The 27160-nt window shown below is 46.4% G+C and overlaps 1 protein-coding gene across 5 annotated transcripts in view, besides 5 other annotated features; it reads right to left on the reverse strand.

The window, feature by feature from the left end:
- The window catches only part of CACNA1A (calcium voltage-gated channel subunit alpha1 A), a 300038-nt gene that overhangs the window by 186743 nt on the left and 86135 nt on the right, over nucleotides 1–27160 (reverse strand). The window lies entirely within an intron of this gene.
- Nucleotides 5523–6722: an enhancer, noted in NCBI's record as "P300/CBP strongly-dependent group 1 enhancer chr19:13509521-13510720 (GRCh37/hg19 assembly coordinates)". NCBI's record gives its function as "activates an origin of replication core promoter dependent on BRD2, BRD4, P300/CBP, MED14 and CDK7 cofactors, with strong dependence on P300/CBP, by STARR-seq in HCT116 cells {active_cell/tissue: HCT116}" and the evidence as "EXISTENCE:reporter gene assay evidence [ECO:0000049][PMID:35650434]".
- Nucleotides 6045–6189: an enhancer, noted in NCBI's record as "145 bp enhancer 68 fragment used in the MPRA reporter construct; PK_construct_3444". NCBI's record gives its function as "activates an SV40 promoter by MPRA in HepG2 and K562 cells {active_cell/tissue: HepG2 | K562}" and the evidence as "EXISTENCE:reporter gene assay evidence [ECO:0000049][PMID:23512712]".
- Nucleotides 6112–6122: a transcriptional cis regulatory region, noted in NCBI's record as "NFE2L2 motif; enhancer activity is reduced when this motif is scrambled". NCBI's record gives its function as "necessary for full MPRA enhancer 68 activity {active_cell/tissue: HepG2 | K562}" and the evidence as "EXISTENCE:site-directed mutagenesis evidence [ECO:0005528][PMID:23512712]".
- Nucleotides 7136–7636: an enhancer, noted in NCBI's record as "H3K27ac hESC enhancer chr19:13511134-13511634 (GRCh37/hg19 assembly coordinates)". NCBI's record gives its function as "activates a minimal SCP1, AML or CMV promoter by ChIP-STARR-seq in primed H9 embryonic stem cells {active_cell/tissue: H9 hESC(primed)}" and the evidence as "EXISTENCE:reporter gene assay evidence [ECO:0000049][PMID:30033119]".
- Nucleotides 7637–8137: an enhancer, noted in NCBI's record as "H3K27ac hESC enhancer chr19:13511635-13512135 (GRCh37/hg19 assembly coordinates)". NCBI's record gives its function as "activates a minimal SCP1, AML or CMV promoter by ChIP-STARR-seq in primed H9 embryonic stem cells {active_cell/tissue: H9 hESC(primed)}" and the evidence as "EXISTENCE:reporter gene assay evidence [ECO:0000049][PMID:30033119]".

Genomic DNA, 27160 nt, shown 5'->3' on the forward strand with positions numbered 1-27160 from the left:
AGTGTGTTCAAAGTAGCTTTCTCTGGAATAGCCCCAAAGTAGAAAGCACCAAACTGCCCACCATTAGTAGAGTAAATGAACAGGTGGTTCAGCACACACAGCGATGAGAACAAATGAACAGCAACAGCACAGATGAATCTCACACATACAACGTCAAGGGAAAGAAGTCAATGCATGCATGCTGTATGACCCCATGTGCTTAAAGTTCAAAAACAAGCAAAACTAATCTAGACTGTTTGAAGTCAGGATGGAGTTACTGGTGACCTCAGAGGCACAAGGGGGTTTCTAAACGTTGGTGCTGTTTTTTTTTCCTTCCTTCCTTTCCTTCCTTCCTTCCCTCCCTCCTTCCTTCCTCGAAGCTGCAGCTGTTCCCTCCCTCCCCCCCTTCTTCTTCTTCTTCCTCCTCCTCTTCCCTCCCTATTTTCCTTCCTTCCTTTTTTTCTTTCTTTAGCTTTCTCTTTCTTTCTCTGTCTTCCTCTTTTCTTTCTTTCTCTTTCTTTCCTTTTCTTTCTTTACCTTTCTCTCTCTCTTTCTGTCTTCCTCTTTTCTTTCCTTTTCTCTCTCTCCCCTTCCTTCCCTTCCCTCCCTCCCTCCCTCCTTCCTTCCTTCCTTCCCTCCCTCCTTCCTCTCTCTCTCTCTCTCTCTCTCTCTCTTCCCCTCCGCCCCCATTGCCCACGCTGGGGAGCGATAGCATGATCTCTGCTCACTGCAACCTCTGCCTCCCAGATTCAAGTGATTCTCCTGCCTCAGCCTCACTCGGCTATGTTCTGTTTCTTGAACTAGGCGCTGGTTACATGACTGGGCTCAGTTTTTGAAAATCACTCAAGCTCTACTTGTATGATACATGTGCTTTTCTGTATGTATGTTATATTCAATAAAAGGTTAAAAATATATTTAGGAAGTAGCTAACATTTCTTGAGTGCTTGCTGTGGGCCAAGTCTTATGCATTATTTTATTCAATCCCCATGATGACCCTACAAGTGTGGCGGTGGTGGGTCCTATCATTCCCTCTACTTTCCAGGTCAGAGAGGTGGGGTCACTGCTTCGAGTTCACACAGCTAGCACATGGCTGGGCTGGGTCTTAAGCCCATGTCCTGCTCAATTCTAACTTCTCTGCAATGCTCTCAGGTTTGGAAAAGTAAAAGGACAAGGATTTCTCAAAGTCAGAGGGTAAAAAGGAAAAAAACAAAACAAAACATGAGATGATGATCCCGCCATACAATTGCCTGCTAACTTCATCAAGAAACAGTTGGAAGATCTCGAGGACCAGGTGAAGGTTTGAAGCAGGGTTGGGGTGAATTTAATAAAGTGTTGATTAAACGTTGTCAGGGGATTCTGAAGACTCAGCTTAAGAGGATACCTGCAGGAAAGAAAGGAACTCTTCCTGCTTCTTCTCTTGAACAATTTTGGCTTTAACGACCATTTCCCCACAAGGCAACAACAAATATTTCATAGTTCTACTCTTCCAAAGCCCTGTTCACAGCATCGTCACTGTGGGAGGTGGGCGCCTATACCCACTTCACTGATAAGCAAACTGTTGGGGCTCAGAAAACAATACCCCAAAATGAAGTTCTCCGAAGCAGCCACAGAAGCAAAAGTTTTTCTCTGACCTTCTCCTGCCCTTCTATCTCTTAGTCCCATTCTCCCCTGGGGCTAGCCACAAAAACTAGAATCCCTCTTCCCTAAGGCGGGTCGTAGAAACCAGACCTCTTTTCCCCAAAGTCAGCCCTAACACCTAAAAATGTTACTCTAACTTTCCCTCCACCTTTCTTTGTAAAAACTAGTTATAAAAAAATTATCTGGCCAGCTGTGGTAGCTCATGCTGGGATTACAAATCCCGGGACTTTGGGAGGCCGACGTGGGTGGATCACTTGAGGTCAGGAGTTTAAGACCAGCCTGGCCAACATGGCAAAACACTGTCTCTACTAAAAATACAAAAATTAGCTGGGCATGGTGGCGCGCACCTCTAGTCCCAGCTACTTGGAAGGCTGAGGCAGGAGAATTGCTTGAACCCAGGAGGCAGAGGCTGCAGTGAGCTGAGTTTGCACCACAGCACTCCAGCCTGGGCAACAGAGTGAGACTCCATCTCAAAAAAAAAAAAAAAAAGAAAAGAAAAAGAAAAAGAAAAAGAAATGATCTGGCTGGGCACAGTGGCTCATGCTGGGATTACAAATCCCAGGACTTTGGGAGGCCCAGGTGGTGGATCACTTGAGGTCAGCAGTTTGAGACCAGCCTGGCCAACATGGTGAAACCCTGTCTCTACTAAAAAATACAAAAATTAGCTGGGCATGGTGGTGCTTACCTGTAGTCCCAGCTACTTGGGAGGCTGAGGCAGGAGAATCATTTGAACCCAGAAGGCAGAGGCTGCAGTGAGCCGAGATTGTGCCACTGTACTCTAGCCTGGGCAACAGAATCAGACTCTGTCTCAAAAAAAAGAAAAAAAAAAAAAAGAAATTATCTAACTTACGTTATTTGACCGTAGGTTATAAGGATCCCATTCCAGAGAGGGTCCTGCCCCATACCCAGAAGGAATGCATGCTCTGAGAGACCAAGAAGAATCAAGACAGCCCCCTTATTCCAGAGAGGGTCCTGCCCCATACCCGGAAGGAATGCATGCTGAGAGAGACCAAGGAGAACCAAGAGAGCCCCCCCTCCATTCCAGAGAGGGTCTTGTCCCATACCCGGAAGAAATGCATGCTCAGAGAGACCAAGGAGAATCAAGACAGCCCTTTTTGGGTTTCCCCACTCAGTCTATTAGCATTTACATTGTACACTTTTTGTTCAATCATATTTCTACACCGCTGTCCATACTTTGTTGAACCTAAGCTTAAAAAACGGACAATTTCCCCTGCAGCTTTGGGTCTTCATTCTGAAGGCTCTCGTGCAAACACATTAAATAAATCTGCCTGCCTTTTCTCCAATTAATATGCCTTGTGAGTTGATTTTTTTCAGTGAACCTTCAGAGGGTCAAGCCCTTGGCCACTACAAAACCAAGGTTCCGGAAGGCCAGGTGTCTTGTCAGAACACTCATTGGTTCATTTCAGAGCTGAACTTGAACTAAAGCTTTCTGACTCTACTCTTCCCCGTGAGGGAAGCCTCCATCGCAGCAAAGCAGCTCACTCAACTTTCTTGCTTCTCAACTGCTCCTTTGCCTAGAGAGTCTCCTCCCTACTGATCCACAGCTCTCTGTCTCCCTTCAAAACTGCCTCTTGTGCTGTTTTCTCTCTTCTCCATTCCATAACATGCATGGGCTCAGGTTACACCACAGCTGCGCCGGCCCCTAGAACTTTCTGGGATGATGGAAATGTTCTATTCTGATCTGTCCAATATGGTAGCCAAGAGCCACGTGTGGCTAATGAGCATTTGAAATGGGGCTCAGTGGCTAAAATTTTCATTTGGTTAAATTTTAATGAATGTACATTTATATTTAAATAGCCTCGTGTGGCTAGTGGCTATCCTGCTGTACCATGCAGCTCTGCAGTTGAATTATAGAGTGGATTACATAATCGAGGGCGTGCAGTCCGTCACATGATGGTGCAAACTAGTCATTCCCTGTGTGCCCTCTAGGTCAATGCTCCAGCGGGCTCTGTGCCCTCGAGGCGGACCCTTGAAGACTACAACTCCCAGAATGCTTTGCTCCGTTTCCGGTTTGGTTTGGCTGAGGGGAAGCGCTGGCAGAAGATGAGGGGAGGGAAAGAGATTGGAATATTGCTTCCCTGCTCCCTCCCTGGTTCTGACAGTAGTCCCTTCTGCACAGCTCTGCCTCCACTGGGTTCCAGGAAATGTAGGGCTCGCGATGGCTTCTCTCTGAGGACCTCAAACAGCCGTTATCTATTTCTCTCACCTGTTCCTATCTCTTTAAGGAGTCTCTTCATGGCATGGTCTTCTTTTGAACCATCTAGAAGTTAATTCTTTTTCCTGTTAGGACCCTGATTGGTATGAGGTGGGAGGAATGAATGGTTCATGAAAGCTGCCCACCTGAAGACCTTGAAGTCCCCCCAGTTTCTGAGGTCAAAGTCTGGAGAAGCAGGATTTGATTCTAGATTTCCCTACCTCAAGAGGGAGGGATGCTCTACTGCTTTTTTTCAAATAAGACTTCAAATTGTGGGGAGAGACATTCTTCCAGATTCTTGCTTCACCCCATTGTAAGGCAAAGGCAAATCCTGAGAGCTGGAAGCCCAAGAAACAGAGGAGGTGGGTGGAAGAACTCAGGAGTGTCCCTTAAAACTGTCCTAAGGGTGGAAGAAGATAGGAATGTCCCTTAAAATTGTCCTAAGGTAGGGCTTGCAAGGAGGTGACACAGATCAAAATGTGAAGCTTGATTCTCAGTGAGGACCCACGCAGAGACTGATGTCTGTCTCTCCTTCCTGGATGCTCAGTTAGACTCCGTTTCCCAGCTCTGCAAGTGGGCGCCGCCATGTACGCTCTGGTGACATCGATCAAAATGTGGAGCTTGATTCTCAGTGAGGACCCACGCAAAGACTCATGTCTGTCTCTCCTTCCTGGATGCTCAGTTAGACTCCATTTCCCAGCTCTGCAAGTGGGTGCCGCCATGTAAGCTCTAGCCAGTGGGAGGTAGATGGAAGTCATATGGACTACTTCTGGGTCTGTCCCAGAAACATTTCTCCTGTGCCCTTCTCATGCTCTTTTCCCTTCTGTGGCTTGATATCAAGAAGCATGGAGACTTTGGAAGCCATGGGTTGAAGATGAGGAGCTACAATATGGAACAAGCCTGGGCCCCTGACTTACTGCTTAGAGGAGAGGTGCCTGCTGTTTAAGAATACATTTTTTTTTTGGCCAGGCACGGTGGCTCACGGCTGTAATCCCAGCACTTTGGGAGGCCGAGGCAGGTGGGTCACCTGAGGTCAGGAGTTTAAGACCAGCCTGACCAACATGGTGAAACCCCACCTATACTAAAAATACAAAAAATTAGCCAGGTGTGGTGGCGGGCACCTGTAATTCCAGCTACTGGGGAGGCTGAGTCAGGAGAATGCTTGAACCCAGGAGGTGGAGGTTGCAGTGAGCCGAGACTGGGCCATTGCACTCATGCCTGGAGGATAAGAGCAAAACTCCGTCGCAAAAGAAAAAAAAAAAAAGAATACACCTTTTGAACTTTATCTGTGCAAGAACGAAATTTTTATTGTTTTGAGCCCTTATGCATGTTGGGATTCTTTGTTACAGCTGCAAGCATATCTAATACACTTAATAGGAACTTATAAACAGTAACTAATACACTTGGGCAGGTAAATTGTCAGTTTCATGAGACCATGGATTTGCCTCTTTGGTTCACTGATGGATCTCTGGTGTCTAGAACAGGGCTGAGCAGGTGGAAGGGTTCAATAAGTGTTTGTTGAATGAGCTATCAGCTTCCAATTTTTCTTTGCAGCTGACTGGAAAGCAGAGAAGTATAGTAGATGCAAGCTCTGGCTCCCAGGTGGGAAAGGGTTGGGTTTATATCCTGCCTGATTATTTACTAATTGTCTACATTGGGCAATTGCCAAGCCTCAGTTTCCTCATAGGGAGGTTGGAGAATTATATAAAAGCTCTTTCTTTTTGTGGACAGAGTGAGGATTCAACGTGATCATTCATGAGAAGTGCTGAGCACACCACCTGATGCATAGTAAGTGCTCAGGAAGTAGCGGTCATGATTATCTGGACTTTTCTCATTCTCTGGGCAAACAAAAAGCACAGAAGCTGCCCCTGCAATAGGCTCTGACAAATTTCAGGCCCCGAGGGGAGGGAGGCCAGGCTTGAGCCTGGGATTATAGCCAAAGACCAGCTCAGGAAACAATATTACATTCCCATGATCCTCCTGCGATCCCAGGAGGGCTTGAGCCTCTGTTTCTTGTCCTGACCTCAGACTAACTCTGCAGAAATGCTGCTCGGGGCTTGGACTAGCTGCTCTGGTTCAGGGAGCCCCATTGAGACCTGGAACTTAGAGGGCCTGGTGGAGTCCTCAAGACTAATGTGGGGAATGAGCCATAGTTTAATTCAGGACACCCCACTTTTTTCAAGTATTATTATTATCACCAGCCTGGAGTTATGCGTGATTGGGCAGATGCCTTAGGACTGATCAGGTTTTTCTCCTCCATTAATTAAAATGTGAATCACAGCTGAGTCACTAAAGAAAACGGTTAATGAGCAATTCTGACTTCCTCCCTCCTTCCTTGCTCAGAGAGATGAGTCAGCAGAAGTCCAGATCCAAAAATGAGAAGAAGAAGAAGAAGAAGAAGAAGAAGGAGAGAAAAGGAAAAAAAAAAAAGCCCAGAAGAGATGTAGGGCTTGGGAAAGCAGGAGCAAAATGAACCTGAACCATATTATTCTTTGTCTTAGCAGAAAAAAGTTCCCAAATCGCTATCCCAAGGCCTAACGGTCAAATCCTCTAATGAGCACGACCAGTTCTCATTTTTACAGACAGACCCACAGGCACCCAGAGATGGATCCAAGCCCCAGCAATCTCCTTTCTTGCTTTCCTCAAGCAACGACAGGCTCCTCACCATGCCAAAAACAACCACCAACCTCCACCTTTCTTTTTCTGCTTCGTTTTCCCCACAAAGCCCAGGCTCTCCTTTGAATTCAGACATCATGGTCATGTTTCATAAGATAAGGGACGAGTGAGGAGCTGGGGTGCCTCCGGTCAATAGGAAAGGGCCATGGGGAGTAACAGTAGAAGATTTCAGAAGTGGGGAGGTCCCTCAGAATCAGGGAAGCTACGTAACTCAAAACATGATTCCTGGAGCCAGGCTAAGCCTGGATCCTGGCTTCGTGTAGAGCTAATCAATCTTTCTGAGCCTCAGTTGTCTCATCTGTAAAATGGGGAGAGTAAAAATACCTACGCAGTGTTGCAAAGATGAAAAAGTCAGCACCCATCAGAAGTTAACAATTATAATATTCATTAGAAAACTATGATCCAAGAATTTCTGCCTCACCCATAGGGTCACCCCAAAGCAAGATGATCAGACAGGTTGGGGAGATGGTCCTCACTGAGCACTGGCACACACACTTGAACAGGTGTGTGTGTGTGGGTGTGCAAGCTCTCATGTGTGTGCATGCAATTTCCCCTCCCAAATCAACTGATCATGTATAACACTGCACATTCGACTTTTGACTTTTGCAGGATGAATTTTCATGATGCCTATTTATATTTTCAAATTATGAGCAGGGGCTTTCACCAATTACCCCTGTCTTGACCCCTTGTTATTCAAATGATTCTCTTTTGAAGAGCCTGCAGTGTCCCAGTCCTTGTCAATTTTTAACTAGATGAATACTGTCCAGATCCCATCTGCTAATGTCTGGGGGTGTGATTTCAGCAGCTTGCCACCATCATGCTCACTGACTTTAAGAAATCTTCTATTTTTTGCAAGGTTGGTAATTTCTAAGTCAGTTTGCCTTGGACTTGTGCTAGAGTGTAAGATAATATTTAACAATCTAGAACAGTGACTCTCAACCAGGGGTGATTTCACCTCCCAGGGGACATTTGGCAATGTGTGGAGACATTTTTGGTTCTCACAACTGGGGCGCGGGCGCTACTGGCATCAAGTAAGTTGAGGCAGTGCACAGGATAGCTCCCATTTTGGAGCTAATAATGCAGCCCCCAAAGTCATCAGTGCTGTGGCGGAGAAACTCTGACCTAGAACCCAGGGGGCCATGGCGGTCCTGAGGCAGAGTCTTGCTCTGTCATTCAAGTTGGAGTAAAGTGGCGTGATCTTTGCTCACTGCAACCTCCACCTCCCAGGTTCAAACGATTCTCCTGCCTCAGCCTCCTGAGTAGCTGGAATTACAGGCACCCACCGCCACACCCAGCTAATTTTTCTATTTTTTTAGAGACAGGGTTTTGCCATGTTGGCCAGGCTGGTCTTGAAATCCTGACCTCAGGTGATCTGCCCGCCTCAGCCTCCCAAAGTCCTGGAATTACAGACCTGAGCCACTGTTGCCTGTCCAGGACTCACTTTTACAAGTAGTCAATTCAGTCAGTTCCTTAGGGACCAAAAAATGGATTATGCCAATTTTAGGGTCCTTCTGCCTCTTTCTAAACTACAATGAATTTATACTAAGCGTGGGGCTCTGCAGCCAGATTTCCTGGATTCAAATTCCAACTCTGCCACTTCCTAGCTGTGTGACCTTGGGCAAGATATTTAACGGCTCTGGGTTTCCATGTTCTCACTAATACATGTGACCAATAAAGCACCCACTGAGTAGTTGTTTGCATTAGGTAGGCTGATATGTAAAGTACTTACGACAGTGCCTGATACATAGTTGAGGCATGAGTGGGAGGTAGACTGAATCCCTGGTGCAAACATGGTGAGCTTCCCACTAAAGATTCACAAGTGGGACTGGGAAATGGCAGCCTAATCAGAGACTACATTTCCCAGCCTCCCATGCAGCTAGCCTGGGCCACATGACTAAATTCCACCCAATAGAATGCAGGCAGAAGTGTTGTTCACCACTTCCAGGAACCCTCATAAGTACCTCCCACTCCACTTTCCCTTTTCCCCAGCTGCTGTCTCAATGTAGGCTCTTAGAACAACCTTGGAAGCCACATGTTTAAGCAGGGAGAGCCTCCAACAGCCTGGATCCCTGAGTGACTGCATGGAGTCGAGCCATATTTGAGTCACCCACCACTCCACCTCATTGCACCCCTCACCAGTTTCACTTTATTATTTTTTATTTTTAGTAGAGATGGTGTCTCACTGTGTTGCCCAGGTTGGCGTTAAACTACTGGGGTCAAGCGACCCTCCCACCACAGCCTCCCAAAGTGCTAGAATTACAGGCATAAGCCACCACATCCGGCCACCAGTTGTACTTTAGAAGTTGATTTCTCACTCATGCATACTCTTAAGCCAGAGATTTTTGGTTTTATTGGTTATTGCAGCTGGTGTTAACTAACACAGCCTCTTCTTCCAGCATTGCTTTGTCTCTCTTGATCAGCAAATATTATCATCTCTTCAACATCTGACCAGCTTCAAGACAACTACAGTCCTCTCCTTCATACCTTTCCTATGAGTTGGCAAATAAGCTGGGGAAGAAGCCCCTTCTCCCATTGGGGATGAGGAAAGGGAATAGGTTCCCTAGGCCAGGATCTTAGTAAAGATCTTTGATACAGAAACAAGAAGGGATCTGGGAGTCATGACCACTCAGCATCTCAGGCCAAAGAATGTGGGTGAGTAAAATAATGGTACAATGGACTTTAGAGACTTGGGGGGAAGAGTAGGAGGTGAGCACTGGATAACAGACAACAAATATGGTGCAGTGTATACTGCCCGGGTGATGGGTGCACCAGGTTCTCACAAATCTCCACTGAAGAACTTACTCATGCAACCAAATACCACCTGTACCCCAATAACTTATGGAAAAATAAAATTAAAAAAAAGAAAAAAGAAAATTAAGCAAATAAAAATAATCAAAATCTAAAGAAAACCCCAAAACCTAACAATTTCTGAAAAAATAGTATGTGGGTATCTGTTTATTAATAAAACATTCAATTATAATTTCAACATCAATTAATTGATCAGCATAAATAAATGGACCAAATTTCATATATATATATACATATATATACACATATATATACACACATATATATACATATATATACATATATATACATATATACACACATATATATATACATATATACACACATATATATACATATATATACACATATATATATACACACACACACACACATATATATATATATATATATATATATATATATATATATATATACTTGCAAGTGAAACTCAAACTCATATTAGTACCATCAAACAGTAGCAATATGTGCCGACATCTAGATCGTCTGCTCAAATATCACTTTCCCAATAAGGCCTACCCTGACCACCCTATTCAATGCTGTATCTTGCACCCCAGAAAGTGGCAGGGCCAGGACTTGAGCACAGCACTCCCAAATTCCCTTTACCCGACTTTACTGATTTTCCCACCTGCGAACACACCATCGTTAATGTTTAGGGTTCTCACCCTCCCCCACCTCACTACCTCATAAGAACCAGAGGGTCTCCTCATCACCTAGAATAGTCATGGGTACACAGTAGATGCTAAATAAATGTTGATCTGAGTGAAGTGTTGTTCTTTGCCTGGGACATTCTAAGAGGTTTATACATATGAACTCATTTGCATGCTCAAAGCAGTTTGACCAAGTGATGAGTTTAAAAAAATTATCTCCATTTTATAGATAAAGAAAGACAGGTTCAGAGAGAGCACTCAGGCAGAAGTGGAAGAGCCAGGATTTGAACCCAGACTGTCTGGTCCCTGGGTCTAGGAGCTCCAGACACTGCTTTGTCTAGGCCCACAACACAGAGTCAACAAACCCGGGACAAGTGTGAGGGGAACCCAAACCAGAGGTGTTCATTCAGTTTTTGTTTGAAAAATACACACCATGTTGCGTATGGGTGTGGATAGGGCCAGGCTCACAAGATTGTGCTTGGCGACCTTTATAAGGAGGGAGGACCTGGGTGCAGTGGCTCATGCCTGTAATCCCAGCATGTTGGAAGGCCGAGGTGGGGGGATTGCTTGAACCTAGGAGTTCTAGACCAGCCTGGGTAATATAAGGAGACCCCATCTCTGCAAACAAACAAACAAACAAACAAAAAAAAACTTTAAATTAGCTGGGCATGGTGGTATGCACCTGTGGTCCTAGCTACTTGAGAGGCTGAGGTGGGAGGATAGCTTGAACCTGGAGGTTGAGGTTGTAATGAGCCGTGGTCATGCCACTGCTCTCCAGCCTGGGTGACAGAGCAAGAATGCATCCCAAAAAGAAAAAAAAAGTTGGTACATATGGTACAATGGTACATATGTTCAAATCTTGGCCTCACCACTCTCCAGCTGTGTGATCTTGGGGCAGTAACGTAACCTCTCTGTGCCTCAAGTCTTATTTATAAAATGGGTTGTTGGGAGGATAAAATACATTGACATTTGTAAAGTGCTCAGAACAGGTTCATAGGCACACATATGCACATATGTGCATATATATATATACACATATACACACACACACACACAGTAATAAGGTTCATAGTTAATGCTGCTATATATGTTTCTGTTAAGGAAATAATGGTCACAGCTTCCACCCGGAGCTCAGGAGCGTGGAGCAGGCCACCTGAGAGCAGAGCCAATCCCTGCACTGTATTCAGCCTCATGCCACCTGGGGAACAGTGTGTTCCAGTCAAAAGAGCTAACAGCGACCTTCCAACAGCTCCTGCTAATTTTAAGGACAAGCCTCTCAGTGCTGGCGCTGGAGTCAATTGTTGCTTTTTCAACAACAGCACCAGGTGTGTGTTAAGAGGCGTGCCATCAGGAAGGCATCCTCTCCCGAGAAAGCTGGAAGTGGCAAGTGGCCCAGGCTGCCCTGAACAGGACAGAAAATGGTTCAGAGCAAAGCTGAGGTAGGCAGGGAGAAAAGATACCAGGGCCGTATCCTCTGTGTCCTCCCCCTGCCAGGCAGAATAATCTGGCATTGCTTAAATATGGTACAAGTCCCGTGATGTTTCCAGCCTGCAAAGCACCTACAGCTCCAAAGTGCTTTCCAGAAATGAGCTAACTAATCCCCAGGGGTGGGTCATGATGCTAAACGTGAACCATCCCTGAGGGGAAAGGTGTGGAAGAGTGTTATTCCAAGAAAACAGGCAAAACTGCAGGGCAAGGAGTGAGAGACTGTTAGTAAGAATGATGATAAAAATGATATTATTATTATTACTCATATTATTATTTGAGATGGAGTCTCACTGTGTCACCTAGGCTGGAGTGCAGTGGTGTGATCTCGGCTCACTGCAACTTCCACCTCCCGGGTTCAAGCGATTCTCCTGCCTCAGCCTCCTGAGTGGCTGGGATTACAGGCACCCCGCCACCACACCCGGCTAATTTTTGTGTTTTTAGTAGATGGGGTTTCACCATGTTGGCCAGGCTGGTCTCAAACTCCTGACCTCAAGTGATCTGCCCGCCTTGGCCTCCCAAAGTGCTGGGATTACAGGTATGAGCCAGCGCGCCCGGCCATTATTATTATTTTTGAGATAGGGTCTCACTCTGTTGCCCTGGCTGGAGTGCAGTGGTGTGATCACAGCTCACTGTAGCCTCAACTTCCTGGGCTCAAGCAATCCTCCCACCTCAGCCTCCCAAGTAGCTGGAACTACAGGTATGCACCACCATACCTGGCTAATTATTTGTATTTTTATTTTTATTTTTTGTAAAGACAGAGTCTCCCTATGTTACCCAGGCTGGCCTCGAACTCCCGTGCTCAAGCAATCAGCCTGCTTCTGCCTCCTAAAGTGCTGGGATTACAGGTGTGAGCCATTGCTCCTGGCCATATTATTGGTAGTAGTATTGCATTATTATCAACAGTCTGTAATATTTCTTGAGCGCTTACAAGGAGCCGGATACTGTTCTAAGAGCTGTATGTCAATTATTTCAATAAATCCTCCATAACTGTATGAAGTAAGAGTGTTATTATCCCCATTGAACAGATGAAACAAATGAGGCCCACAGAGGTTTGGGCATCAGCTCCAAGTCACACAGCTTGCAAGAAGGGGAGCTGGTTCAAGCCCAGGTATTCTGATAACATAGCATCTCTATCATCCTCACCATTATAATGATGTTCTGTATATTTCACAGTATTTGCTGGGGTTGGCTACTGTTGACGCCATTTTACAGATGAGAAAACTGAGTTATAGAGGGACTTGCTGACTGGCCCAGGGTCACATAGCTGAGAGGTGGCAGAGTCAGAATGCATCCATTCATGTGGTCTCAGCAGCCACATCAGCACCAATGGGACTTCGATATTGCCTGGATGGTCTTCCCTCTTTCCATATGCCAGCTTTATGGAGAACAGAGTCTGGACAGATGCAGTGGCTCACACCTGTAATCCTAGCATTTTGGGAGGCTGAGGAGGGAGGATCGCTTGAGGCCAGGAGTTTAAGACCTGCCTGGTCAACATAGTGAAACCACATCTCTATAAAAAAAGGTAATATAAAAAGGACGGGCATGGTGGCTCATGCCTGTAATACTAGCACTTTGGGAGGCTGAGGCAGACTGATCACTTGAGCCCAGGAGCTCAAGACCAGCCTGGCCAACATAGGTGAATCCCTGTCTCTACTAAAAATATAGAATTAGCCAGGTGTGGTGGCGGGTGCCTGTAATCGCAGCTACTTGGGAGTCTGAGGAACAAGAGTTGCTTGAACCTGGGAGGTGGAGGTTGCAGTGAGCCAAGATCGCGACAATGGGCTTCAGCCTGGGTGACAGAGGGAGACTCTGTCTCAAAAAAAAAATTATATATATATATATATATATATATATATATATATATATATATATATGAAGGGAATCTGATCCCTAACATTAGTGGAACAGCTTCAATTCAGGGATTGAGCAGGAGGAGAGGCTGGTGCATTCAGTGTCCACTCCCCAGCATCAGAGTGGATTCTACCCAGCTTGGTGAGAATTCTCTGTACCCAATTTGCCCTTTGATACTGCACTGGGCAGAGAGGGTGGGTGGGCATCCTCCTACTAGGGCAGGAGGAGTCCTTCACATATACCTGTATTCTGGGCCATCACCCTTCAGCCAGAGTCATCCTTCTAAATAAAAAGCTAAGCACAACCACCCCTTGTCTAAATCCTTCCATGGCTCCCTTGTGCCTTCAGGATAAAGTCCAAACTCCTCAAAACATGGGTTGGTTCCTGCTGACCTTCTGTAGGTTCTTCTCTTGCCATTTCCCTCTCCCAACACACAAGCACATTCACACACACACAAACACACACACACATGCACACATGTATGCATGTGTACACACATACCCACACACAAGCACAGCTCTGTTTACCTGTTTCCTGTATAAACCCTATGATGTGGAATCCCAGCTCTGCTACCTGGGCAAGTCACTTAACTTCTCCATGCCTCATTTTTCTCGTCAGTAAAATATTTTGCTCTCCTGTGCTTCTCTAGACTAGAAGAATGCCTGACACACAAAATGCACCAAATGGTCATTTTCTGTTTGGTTTTGTGAAAGACAAAACGCGTAGACAGTACAAAATTCAGAAAGACACAAGAAAGTAAGTTTCCTTTCCACACCTACTTCCAAATCTTTCAGGGTGCCGCTACAGAGGCAAACACAATTATTAATTTCTCATGGAATCTTCCAGATTTGCTCTTACGAGAAAATGGCGGCACCATTCAAAAACTGCTTTTGTCACCTGATAACATATCTTGGATATAGAGATTCCTATTTCCTTCTCTGTAAAATGGGGATATGAAAGAATCCACCTCACAGGCTTGTTACAAGAATTAAATGAGTTAATACTCACTTTCTAACAGCACTTGTATACAGTAGACACCCTATAAGTACTAGCTCTTATTGACACTCAGAGATCTGCTTCTTCTTTTTGTAATGACTTCATAACACGCTAAGGGATGGGTGTACCATAGTTTATCCGACAGTTCTTGTTGATGGAGACGTCCATCAATGGAGTCTTCCAATTGTTATGCTGCAACAATGCTTCTCTTTGCTGTAACAATGCTTAATAAATATGGTTCACGTCTGTAATCCTAGCACTTTGGGAGGCCAAGGCAGGCAGATTGCTTGAGCTCAGGAGTTAGAGACCAGCCTGGGTGATATGGTTTGGCTCTGTGTCCCCACCCAGATCTCATGTTGAATTGTAATCCCCAATGTTGGGGGAGGGACCTGGTAGGAGGTGATTGGATCCTGGGAGCAGATTTCCCCCTTGCTTTTCTCATGACAGTGAGTGAGTTCTCGTGAGACCTGGTTTTGTAGCACTCCCCCCCTCACTCTCTCTCTCCTGCCACCATGTGAAGATGTGCTTGTTTCCCCTTCATTTTCCGCCATGATTGCAAGTTTCCTGTGGCCTCCTCAGCCATGCCTTCCGCACAGCCTGTGGAGCCGTGAGTCAATTAAACCTCTTTTCTTTATAAACTACTCAGTCTCAGGTAGTTCTTTATAGCAATGTGAGAACAAACGAATACACTGGGCAACATGGCAAAACCCCGTCTCTACAAAAATTACAAGAATTAGCCTGGCGTGGTGGCTTGTACCTGTGGTGTCCCAGCTACTCAGGAAGCTGAGGTGGGAGGACTGCTTGAGATGGGGAGGTTGAGGCTGCAGTGAGCCACGATCTTGCCACTGCACTCTAGCCTGGGCAACAGAGTGAGACCCCGTTTCAAAAATATATATGTGGTGAAACAAAAGAACTAATGAATGAAGAAATAAATGGAGGAATACTTTGAGCAGGGTATAAGGAACCTGGGTAAGTTTCAGAGATTCCAAGATCTTCAAAGGTACCTTTCTAGGCACTAAGTCCTTTTACAAATTCCTTTCATGTGGCACTAACATTATATGTTCAATACACCAGCATGATCAGATTATACCACTGTGTGTGGGGTGCTAGGGCCATTCTTTGATGGAGAACTGGTCTACCCATTGCAATCATTCTCACAGATGCAAGCTGAGCTGGTTCACAGGTGAGCAACTGTTCTTGCCCCAAAGAATGTAGTTAATGTTCTTCCCATAAGCTCATGGCTTTTGAGAATACTGTTGGTCCCAAAGGGGAGACAGTAGTTGGTCAAAGGAATACCACCTCAGCCCAGGAAGGGGACTGTGTACTGAAGGAACAGTAAGGTGTCCTTGAGGGGTTTGAAGGGTTCCTGGTGAGGCTCGATTGTGTTGTAGGATGAAGGCTGAAGAGTGGGGTGGGAGGCAGGGACGAGGAAGGAGATGGGTCATGAGCTCTATTAAAATGTATTTTTGTAATTCCGAGTTGAAAATAGACATACCGACTTCATGCTGACTGTTTCGGCTTCGTGACATAGCCTGGCTCGTGGGGGCCTTCCCATTCAGCACGTCTCCGTGGCAACAGGCCACTTTCTCATTCACGCCATCTCCAGGGTTACCTTGCTTGGCTCATTCAGGACTGTTGCCATAGAGACAGGTCCATTGATACAATCTTGACGCTTTGGAACTTTGCTTTCCCGAATGATGGAGTATTGGCCGTGGGGTACGGATGACATTGTGATAGGGTGTGAGGCGAAGAGAGTTCTGGGAGTTGAGGTATAAAGACTTAAAATCTGGCAAGAGGAAGATGAGGTCATGGTAGGAGATATGGTAAGGCAGTAGTAGACCAATATCATTCCTGATCTTGACATGTGAAATGGTTGATCCTTTGACAATCCTGTGTGTGTGTGTGTGTGTGTTGTGTGTCTGTGTGATGTCTTTTATTAGACTCAAAGTACAAATACGCCAGGCACTTAGCCTTGTCATTGTTGATGTCTGTATCTCCAGCATCTAGCACAGCGCCTGGTACAAAGTAAATGTCTCCTCAAATAATAATAAGAAGAAGAAGAATAAGAATTTCTTTTTGAGGCAGGGTCTTATTCTATCACCCAGGCTGGAGTGCAGTGGCTCGCTCTTGGCTCACTGCAACCTCCACCTTCAGGGCTCAAATGATCCTCCCGTTTTAGCCTCCCGAATAGCTGGGACTACGTGCATGCCACTATACCTGGCTAGTTTTTGTATTTTGTGTAGAGACAGTGTTTTGCCATGTTGCTTAGGCTGATCTCGAACTCCTGATTCAAGCTCAGAAGTGAATCAGGAGTTCAAGCAATCCTCCCACCTTGGCTTCCCAAAGTGCTAGGATTACAGGCATGCACCACTGCACTCGGTCTACCCACAAATAATTATTGAATAAATTAGAACTTGTTGTTTGCAGTAAACTGTAAAAATATAAATTGTCCTTGATAAACCATAAAAATATAAAAACATTAGAAGAGAATTTCCACAAGCAACCACCACTATTATTTACTCTCTACCTCCCAGCATGTATGCCCATATAGTGCATTTTCTCCTGTTTCTATAGATAACTGTGTGTGCTGTCATCTAAAGTGAAACCTTCCACCTGTACACCAAATGCCATCCCCTCTCGTCCACCAAGAGATGTCCTCCTGACACTCTTCTTCCTCCAGCATCCTCATGTTTTTCTCCCCTAATAGGTTATTCCTATCAGCATAAAATCTGCTGTTAGGTCTCCCATCTTTTTTTTTTGAGACAGGGTCTTGCTCTGTTGTCCAGCCTGGAGTGCAGTGGTGTGATCATAGCTCACTGCAGCCTCGACCTCCCAGGCTCAAGAGATCCTCTCACCTCAGCCTCCCAAGTAGCTAGGACCACAGGCATGCACCACCATGCCCAGCTAATTAAAAAAAAATTTTTTTTGTAGAGATGGGGTCTCACTATGTTGTCCAGGCTAGTCTCAAATTCCCGAGGTCTCAGCCTCCCAAAATGCTGGGATTACAGGTGTGAGTCATTGTGCCTGGCCTTTTTTTTTTCTTTATTCTTTTTTCTTTTTTTTTTTTTTTTTAAGGGAAACAAACCTCTGAAATCCACTTCCCCCACCAGCTAACACATGCCCCATCTCTCTTCCTCTACCCTTCACAGCAGAACTCTTTAAAAGAGCTAGTAGTAATCCTTCCAGTAGCCTCTTGCCTTCACCTCTTCACCTAAGCAGCTCTGGCTCAGGTCACGAAAGATCTCCATGCCACTACATCCAATGGTTGATTCTCATTTTTCATTTGAGTCAACACATCAGCATCAGTGGACATCATTGATCATTCCCTCATACTTGAAATGGCTTAGCACTTTCCTTGCATGACAGCCAGCACCCACATTCTTCTGATTTGCTCCAATTCAGTCTTCTCTGCTGGCTCCTCCTCATCTTCCCCAACCTCTTTAATGATGGAGAGTAAGCCCTGGGCTCAGTCCTGGGTGCTCTCCTGCATCTATGCCCTTATTCAGTTCCTTAAATAGCCTCCACAGGAGGCTGACTCCTGCCTTTGGATCTCCAGCTCTGACTTACCTTTTTTGAATTTTAGACTCCAATTCCTATTAGGCTGGTGCAAAGGTTATTTCCTTTGCCATTACTTTTAATGGCAAAACCGCAATTACTTTTGCACCAACCTAATAGATGGCCAACACAATATCTCTATCCATCAGTAGGCACTTCATAGAAAGCTGAGTTCCTAATCTGCCCACCTAGTCAGTCTCCTTCCCCATTTTATTTGATGGCAAACCCATCCTTTCACTTGCCCATGTGATAGGGTTTGGCTGTGTTCCCACCCAAATCTCAACTTGAATTGTAATAATCCCCACGTGTCAAGGGCGGCGCCAGGTGGAGATAACTGAATCATGGGGGCAGTTTCCCCCATACTGTTCTTGTGGTAGTGAATAAGTCTCATGAGATCTGATGGTTTTATAAATGGCACAAGCTCTCTTGCCTGCTGCCATGTAAGACATGCCTTTACTTCTCCTTTGCCTTCTGCCATGGTTGTGAGGCCTCCCCAGCCATGTGGAACTGTGAGTGCATTAAACCTCTTTCCTTTATAAATTACCCAGTCTCAGGTATGTCTTTATTAGCAGTGTGAGAAGAGACTAATACACCATGTCAAAAAATGTGGGGTTCTCCTTGACTTCCCTCTCTCTCTTTCTCTCTCTTTCTCCTTCTCTCTCTCTCTCTCTCTCCCCATTCTCCTTTTTGAGACAGGGTCTCACTTTGTCTCCCAGGCTGAAGCACAATGGTGCAACTACAGCTCACTACAGCCTCAACTTTCTGGGCTCAAATGATCCTCCTGCTTCACTGTCCTGAGTAGCTGGGATTACAGGGACACATCACCCTGCCTGGCTAATTTAAAAATTTTTTTTTGTAGAGACAGGGGTCTCACTATGTTGCCCAGGCTGGTGTCAAACTCCTGGGCTCAAGCGGCCTTCCCCACTTGGCCTCCTAAAGTGCTGGGATTACAGGTGTGACCCACCGTGCCTGGCCTCTCTCTTTCTCTTAAAGTTCATACTCAGTTGAGTCTGCAAATCTAAAATTAAGTCAACACAGATAGTGAAACCAACCACCCCTCCCCACCTCCATGACCACAGCCCTGACTTGAGGCCTCCGTTACTGCTTGCTCAGAACATTGCAGACAACTCCCAAATGAGATCCTTGTTTCCACGCCGCCTCCAGTGTATTCTTTTTTAGATGTTTTATTTGTTTTCTTTTGCAGAAAAGAGGTCTCACTGTGTTGCCCAGGCTAGACTTGAACTCCTGGGCTCAAGCGATATCCTCCTGCCTTGGCCTCCTGAGTATCTGGGACTGCAGCCATGTGCCACTCTGCACCCAGCAATTCCTTAGCATTGACAAGCATATGGTGATAATATAAGATACAAACAACAGGAGAAACTGGGTGAAGGGTATGTGGGAACTCTTTATAATATATTTATAACCTTTCTTTTTTTTCTTTTCTTTTTTTTTTTTGAGATGGAGTCTCACTCTGTCACCCAGGCTGGAGTGCAGTGGCGCGATCTCAGCTCACTGCAACCTCCGCCTCCTGGGTTCAAGCAATTCTCCTGCCTCAGCCTCCCGAGTAGCTGAGACTACAGGCGCGTGCCACCATACCTGACTAATTTCGTATTTTCAGTAGAGACGGGGTTTCACCATGTTGCCCAGGCTGGTCTCAAACGCCCAACCTCAGGTGATCTACCTGTCTCGGCCTCCCAAAGTGCTGGGATTACAGGCGTTAGCCACTGCGCCCAGCTACAACCTTTCTAAAAGTCTAAATTACTCTAAAATAAATATTTAAAAAATAACATTTGTTTGGTAGAAAGGGTCCACTGATTTAAAAAGATTTGAAGACTACTTTGGTAGGCATTTCTGAAGTGGGACATGTTATGGTGTGACTTAAATATTAGGACAAAATGGTGTGGTTGGAAGTTCAGAAAGTGGGTTAGGACCAGGTGTGGGGGCTCACGCCTGTAATCCCAAGGCTTTGGGAGGCACAGGCAAGAGGACTGCTTGAGCCTAGAAGCTTGAGACCAGCCTGGGCAACCTAGCAAGAATCCATCTCTACAAAAAGTTTTTTGTTTTTTTTTTTTGTTTTTTTTTTAGATGGTGTCTCGCGCTCTGTCGCCCAGGCTGGAGTGCAGTGGCGTGATCTCAGCTCACTGCAAGCTCCGCCTCCCAGGTTCACACCATTCTCCTGCCTCAGCCTCCCGAGTAGCTGGGACTACAGGCGCCCGCCACCATACCTGGCTAATTTTTTGTATTTTCAGTAGAGATGGGGTTTCACTGTGTTAGCCAGGATGGTCTCAATCTCCTGACCTCGTGATCCGCCCGCCTTGGCCTCCCAAAGTGCTGGGATTACAGGTGTGAGCCACCGTGCCCGGCCTACAAAAAGTTTTAAAAATTAGCCAGTGTGGTGGCACATGCCTGTAGTCCCAGCTACTAGGGAGGCCAAGGCAAGAGGATCCCTTGAGCCCAGGAGGTCACGGCTGCAGAAAGTGATTATAGTGCCACTGCACTCTGGCCTGAGTGACAGAGCAAGGTCCTGTCTTAAAAAAAAAAAAAAAAAAAAAAAAGGCCAGGCACAGTGGCTCACACCTGTTAATCCCAACACTTTGGGAGGCTGAGGTGGGAGGATCACCTGAGGTCAGGAGTTCAAGACCAGCCCGGCCAACATAGCGAAACCCCGTCTCTACTAAAAAAAAAAAAAAAATTGCCGGGTGTGGTGCCAGGTACCTGTAATCTCAGCTACTCGGGAGGCTGAGACAGGAGAATTGCTTGAACCCAGGAGGTGGAGGTTGCAGTGAGCTAAGATCTTGCCATTGCACTTCAGTCTGGGTGACAGAGCCAGACTCTGTCAAGAAAGAAAGAAAGAAAAAGAAAGAAAGAAAGAAAGAAAGAAAGAAAGAAAGAAAGAAAGAAAGAAAAGGAAGGCAAGGGAAGGGAAAGGAAATAAAAGAAAAGAAAGGAAGGATGGAAGAGTGGAAGGTGAGATAAAAGCAGATAGAAGCCTGGGCAACATAGTGGGACCCCATCTCTACAAAAAATACAAAAATTAGCCAGGTGTGTTGGTGCCCGTCTGTAGTCCCAGCTACTCAGGAGGCTGAAGTGGGAGGATCCTTGAGCCAAGGAAAAAATTGAAACTGCAATGAACTTTGAGTCCGGGAGTTTGAGACCAGCCTGGGCAACATAGGGAGACTCCTTCTCTATAAAAATAAATAAAAATAAATTAGCCAAGCATGATGGTGCATGCCTGTGGTCCCAGCTACTCAGAAGGCTGAGGCAGGAGGATTGCTTGAGCCCAAGAAGTCGAGGCTGCAGAGTAAGCTGTGATTGCGCCACTGCACTCCAGCCTAGGCAATAGAGCGAGGCTCTGTCTCAAAAAAAAAGCAGGCAGATAGCAGCGAAGGACAATGTGCCACATTAAGGAGCTTGGATAGTATCTTGAAAGCAATAAGGGTTTAAAAACCAGGGAATGTTGGAGACACGTGGCACAAGAAAGGTGTCATCTAGATGGACAGAAGACCCTCATGATCCCATGACAGCGACTGGGAAGGGGTAATTAAAAACAAAGAAACACAAGCCAAAAGCATCATCAGGCTGAGAAGAGAAAATGTCTTAGCATGGCTGAGAACACACTCAAGAAATAGAAGCTCTGCCGGGTGTGGTGGCTCATGTCTGTAGTCCCAGCACTTTGAGAGACCAAAGTGGGCGGATCGCTTGAGCCCAGGAGTTAGAGACCAGCCTGGGCAACACGGCGAAACTCCATTTCTACCAAAAGTCCTAAAAAAAATTTGCCCGGGTGTGGTGGCGTGTGCCTGTAGTCCCAGCTATTCCAGAGGCTGAGGGGGGAGGATCGCCTGAGCCTGGGAGGTCAAGGCTACAGTGAGCTGAGATCACACCTCTGCACTCGAGCCTGGGTGAAAAAGAGAGATCCTGTCTCAAAACAAAAGCAAAACAAACAACAACAACAACAGAAGAGAAGTTCTGAGATGCCCATGTAGGACAGCTGGTTACTCATTGGGGGACTTTCCCAAAGCGATTTTGGGGAAGGTAGGAACTACTGGGATGAGGAGGGCATAGGAGATGGGCTGTATTCCCAGGGAGCTTAAAGGAGTCAGGGCAGAGGCTTCAGAGTAGGAATCAGGGCAGGATTTGGGGGATGGAAGATCCTGTCTTCCTCCGAGACAGAGAGAAGGCGGGTGTGTGTGCGGCGCGGAATAGAGGCAGGTGGTGCCGACAAGGAAACGTGCGGAAGGAAGGGAGATAGACGCAATCCCTGCATATTTTTCTCAGCCCATTCTGTGCTCTTCACAACACGCCTGCCTTTATGACCTGGGGGACAGGGTGAGAGGCTTCTGCATGTCAGAGCTAGACTGAGAGGATGTTCCTCCCTTGTCTTCAGAGCTGAGTGGGTCATAACATTTAGAACTAGATGAGGCCAGGCGTGGTGGCTCACACCTGTAATCCCAGCACTTTGGGAGGCCGAGGCGGGAGGATCACTCAAGGTTGGGAGTTTGAGACCAGCCTGGCCAACATGGCAAAACCCGGTCTCTACTGAAAACACAAAAATTACCCAGGCATGGTGGTGCACGCCTGTAGTCCCAGCTACTGGGGAGGATGAGGCAGAGAATTGCTTGAACCTGGGAGGCGGAGGTTACAGTGAGCCAAGATCATGCCACTGCACTCCAGCCTGGTCAACAGAGCGAGACTCTGTCTCAATTAAAAAAAAAAAAAAAAAAAAAAAAAAAAAAGTAGATGGGGCCTCAGAATTCACTGAGGCCAATTTCCTGATTTAACAATGAAGAGAAAACTCCAGAGGGACTGAGGGAGCTGTCCAAGGTCACCTAGCAAGTGAGGGACAGATCTGGGATCAGAAGACCAGTCTCTCACCAGCTGGCCTGTGTCTTCTACTGCACTGTGCTGGTCCCCACAGGCCTCTGAGCGGTCCTCTCTGATGAAGCTTCCTACGCTGATAAAAATATTCTCTATCCATGCTGTCCAATATGATAGCCACCACCCACAAGGGATGATTAAGCACTTGAAGTGCAGCCTGTGTGAGTGAGAAACAGAATTTTAAATTTCGCTTAATTTTTTTTGAGACAAGGTCTTGCTCTTTCACCCATGCTGGAGTGCAGTGGCACAATCACAGCTCACTGCAGCCTTGACCTCTTGGGCTCAAGCGATCCTCCTGCCTCATCCTCCCGAGTAGCTGGGACCACAGGCCTGCACCACCACGCCTGGCTAATTTATTTTTATTTTTTATAGAGATGGGGTCTTCCTATGTTGCCCAGGCTGGTCTCAAACTCCTGGGCTCAAGCAATCCTCTGGCCTCAGCTTACCAAAGTGTTGGGATTACAGGCGTGAGGCACAGCATTTAGGCTGTGTGCGGTGGCTCATGCCTGTAATCCTAGCACTTCGGGAGGCCGAGGCGGTGGATCACCTGAGATCAGGAATTCGGGACCAGCCTAGCCAACATGGTGAAACCCTGTCTCTACTAAAACTACAAAAATCGGCCGGGCGCGGTGGCTCACACCTGTAATCCCAGCACTTTGGGAGGCTGAGGCGGGTGGATCACAAGGTCAGGAGTTCGAGACAAGCCTGGCCGACATGGTAAAACCTCATCTCTACTAAAAATACAAAAAATTAGCTGGGCGTGTTGGCGGGCGCCTGTAATCCCAGCTACTCAGGAGGCTGAGGCAAGAGAATCACTTGAATCCAGGAGGCGGAGGTGGCAGTGAGCTGAGATCGCGCCACTGCACTCCAGCCCAGGCAACAGTGCTACACTCCATCTCAAAAAACAAAAACAAACAAACAAATTTAAAAAATCCAAAAATTAGCTGGGTATGGTGGTGCATGCCTGTAGCTACTTGGGAGGCTGAGGCAGGAGGATTGTTGTGTATATTTTGCCACAATCAAAACAAAACAAAACCCAAAACCAATTTAATATCCACATACGGATATTAATATCCAAATACGTGCAATTGGTGACCGAATTGCACGGTACAGCTCAAAGAATGTTTCCAAGAATGGCTTTTGATGACCACCTCAAAGCTCACAGTCTTTCCAGAGAGACCGTCACCCTCTCCCCAAGGGGGCAGCCTGATGTTCCAGGAGGTGGCAGCCACTCGTCCAGGTCAGAAAGCGACTGCCAAGAACTCACTGGACCTTGGAAGTCAGCCAGCTGCCAATCTGTCAGCTTGCATCCGGAGGGCTGGAGAAGAAGCGCTGTGTTAACTGTGCAACTCTGTGCTGCTGTGCACGCTCGGTATGTGGGTCCCGAGGGGTTTCCACTCCACTGGGCAGGAACAGGGAGGGAAGGCTGTCATGTTTCGGTTTCTGAATGTCCAGCTGCTGTGACAGCAGGAAAGAGTCGCCAAGGGCTGAGACTGGTGGGTGGGCTGGCTCCCCAGATAGAACAATCCACCCAGAGCCCATTCTGTAGGTAGTGAGGCAGCCTCCATCAAACCAGTCGTGGATTCTCTGTTTCTGTAGAGCTCTGCCTGTTTATGCCTCACTTTCTGGGGATGAACTGGCCTGGGCTTCTGCAATAATTTCAGCACAAGGAGTTAAAAGAGAACCATAGTTGCCCAGTGTGGTGGCTCATGCCTGTAATCCCAGCACTTTGGGAGACCGAGGCGGGTGGATCACAACAAGGTCAGGAGATCGAGACCAGCCTGGCCCACATGGTGAAACCCCATCTCTACTAAAAATACAAAAATTAGCTGGGCGTGGTGGTGTGTGCCTATAATCCCAGATATTTGGGAGGCTGAGGCAGGAGAATCGCTTGAACCCGGGAGGTGGAGGTTGCTGTGAGCTAAGATTGCACTACTGCACTCCAGCCTGGGTGACAGAGCAAGACTCCATCTCAAAAAAAAAAAAAAAAAAAGAGAACCATAGCATCTTCCACCAAGACACAGACCTCCATGGCCAGCCCTGTCCCCTGTCAAGAGCTCTCCCGGCCCCATGTTCTTTTCCTTCCTGGCGGTTAGCACAGTAGATGCTCAAAAAGGTATCTGTGACAATATTTGTGTTGCAAATGATGTCAAAACTGTGCAAAACCATGTTGGTTTGAATCCTGGCTCTGCCACTTACTGTTCCTCCTCAGGTGAGTTACTTAACCCCACTCTGTCTTGATTTCTCTGTGGTTTTCCCCATAGAGAGAAGACATTTGTTAATGTATGAAAAGTCCTTAGAACAATGGAATGAAGCTTCCATGAAGTCAGCTTTCTCAGGTCCACAGCAAATATTTGGGGGAGTGGAGGTGGGGGCAGAACCCTTCAGGCATTCAGTACAAGGTAGTGGTGTGTGTACGTGGGAGGCAGTCCCAGATGTCAGAACCTGAATTCAAAGCGCATTCTGGCTGTAGTGGGTTGAACAGTGAACCCTCCAGAAGTTATGTTGATGTCCTAATCCCTGGAATGCTACCTTATTTAGAAAAAATAAGGTATGCAGGTACGATTTAGTTAAGAATATGAGGGCAAGAGTTTATTCCTGGATTTTCTGAGTGGGGCCTAAATGCAGTCATATGTATCCTTATGACACAGCAGAAGAGGGAACTTTGAGAGGGAAGAGGAGAACGCCCTGTCACCACTGAGGCAGAGACTGGAGTGAAGCAACTCCAAATCCAATGGAAGGATCCTCCCCCGGATCCTTTGGAGGGACCCTGGTGACACCTCGATTTCAGACCTATGGCCTCCAAAACAGTGAGAGAATACATTTCCCTTGTTTGAAGCCGTGTGGTTTATGGTACAGTCATGTGCTACATAACGATGTTTTGATATGTTTTGATCAACAGCGGACTGCCTATACAATGGTGGTCCCATATGGTTATAACTGTATTTTTACTGTACCTTTTCTGTTTAGATATGTTTTTTATTTTTTATTTTTTTGAGATGGAGTTTTGCTCTGTCACCCAGGCTGGAGTGCAGTGGCATGATCTCAGCTCACTGCAACCTCCACCTCCCAGGTTCAAGCGATTCTCCTGCCTCAGCCTCCCGAATAGCTGGGATTACAGGTGCCTGCCACCACACCTGGCTAATTTTTGCATTTTTCAGTAAAGAAGGAGTTTCGCCATGTTGGCCAGGCTGGGCTCGAACTCCTGACCTCAGGTGATCTGGAATTACAGGCGTGAGCCACCGTGCCCGGCCTAGATATGTTTAGATACACAAATACTTACCATTGTGTTACAACTGCCTACAGTATTCAAGACAGTAACCTGCTGTGCAGGTTTGCAGCCTAGGTGCAATAGGGTATGCCCCATAACTGAGGTGTGCAGTAGTTTATACCATCTAGGTTTGTGTTAAGTTCTCTACATGATGTCCACACAATGACAAAATCGCCTATTGACTCAGTTCTTAGACTATATTTCCAAGGCTGGAAACAGTGGCTCATATCTGTAATCCCAGCACTTTGGGAGGTTAAGGTGGGAGGCTCTTTTGAGCCCAGGAGTTTGAGACCAGCCTTTGGTAACATAGGGAGACCCCACCTCTACAAGAAATTTAAAAATTAGCCAGGTGTGGTGGCATGCATCTGTGGTTCCAGCTACTCTGGAGGCTGAGGTGGGAGGATCGCTTGAACCCAGGTGGTCGAGGCTGCAGTGAGCTGTTATCAGGCCACTGCACTCCAGCCTGGGTAACAGAGTGAGACCTTGTCTCAAAAGATAAAAAGTATCCCCCAGGACAATGTCAGTTAAACAAGATCTGTAGATTTTGTTATCTAATTAGACCCAGGATAGAATGGATGTGGGACAAGTAAGAATGCTGTTAAAATGAAGAAAATCCTGGCCGGGCATGGTGGCTCATGCCTGTAATCCCAGCACTTTGGGAGGCCGAGGTGGGTGGACCACTTGAGGTCAGGAGTTCGAGACCAGCCTGGCCAACATGGTGAAACCCTGTTTCTATTAAAAATACAAAAATTAGCTGGGTATGGTGGCGGACACCTGTACTCCTAGCCACTCAGGAGACTGAGGCAGGAGAATCACTTGTATCTGGAAGGTAGAGGTTGCAGTGAGCCGAGACTACTACACTCCAGCCTGGGCGACAGAGCGGGACTCTATCTCAACATAAAAATAAAAATAAATTAAAAAATAGAGAAATGATTAAAAAAGAGACTGCTGTTGACTTTGGAATTTTTGGGCAGGGGTCAGCAAACCCCATGGGCTGGCCATCTATTTTTATAAAGTTATGTGGAATTCAGCTGCATCCATTCATTGACCTATTGCACAGAAAGGCTCGCTCTCTCTCTCAAGCAGAAGGAGGCTCACTTCATGGTCTCTTTTCTTAAGTAAAGCAGTGAATTGAGTTGAATACTATTTCCCCCAAAT

This window comes from Homo sapiens, chromosome 19 (assembly GCF_000001405.40).
Source record: "Homo sapiens chromosome 19, GRCh38.p14 Primary Assembly".
Taxonomy (NCBI): domain Eukaryota; kingdom Metazoa; phylum Chordata; class Mammalia; order Primates; family Hominidae; genus Homo; species Homo sapiens.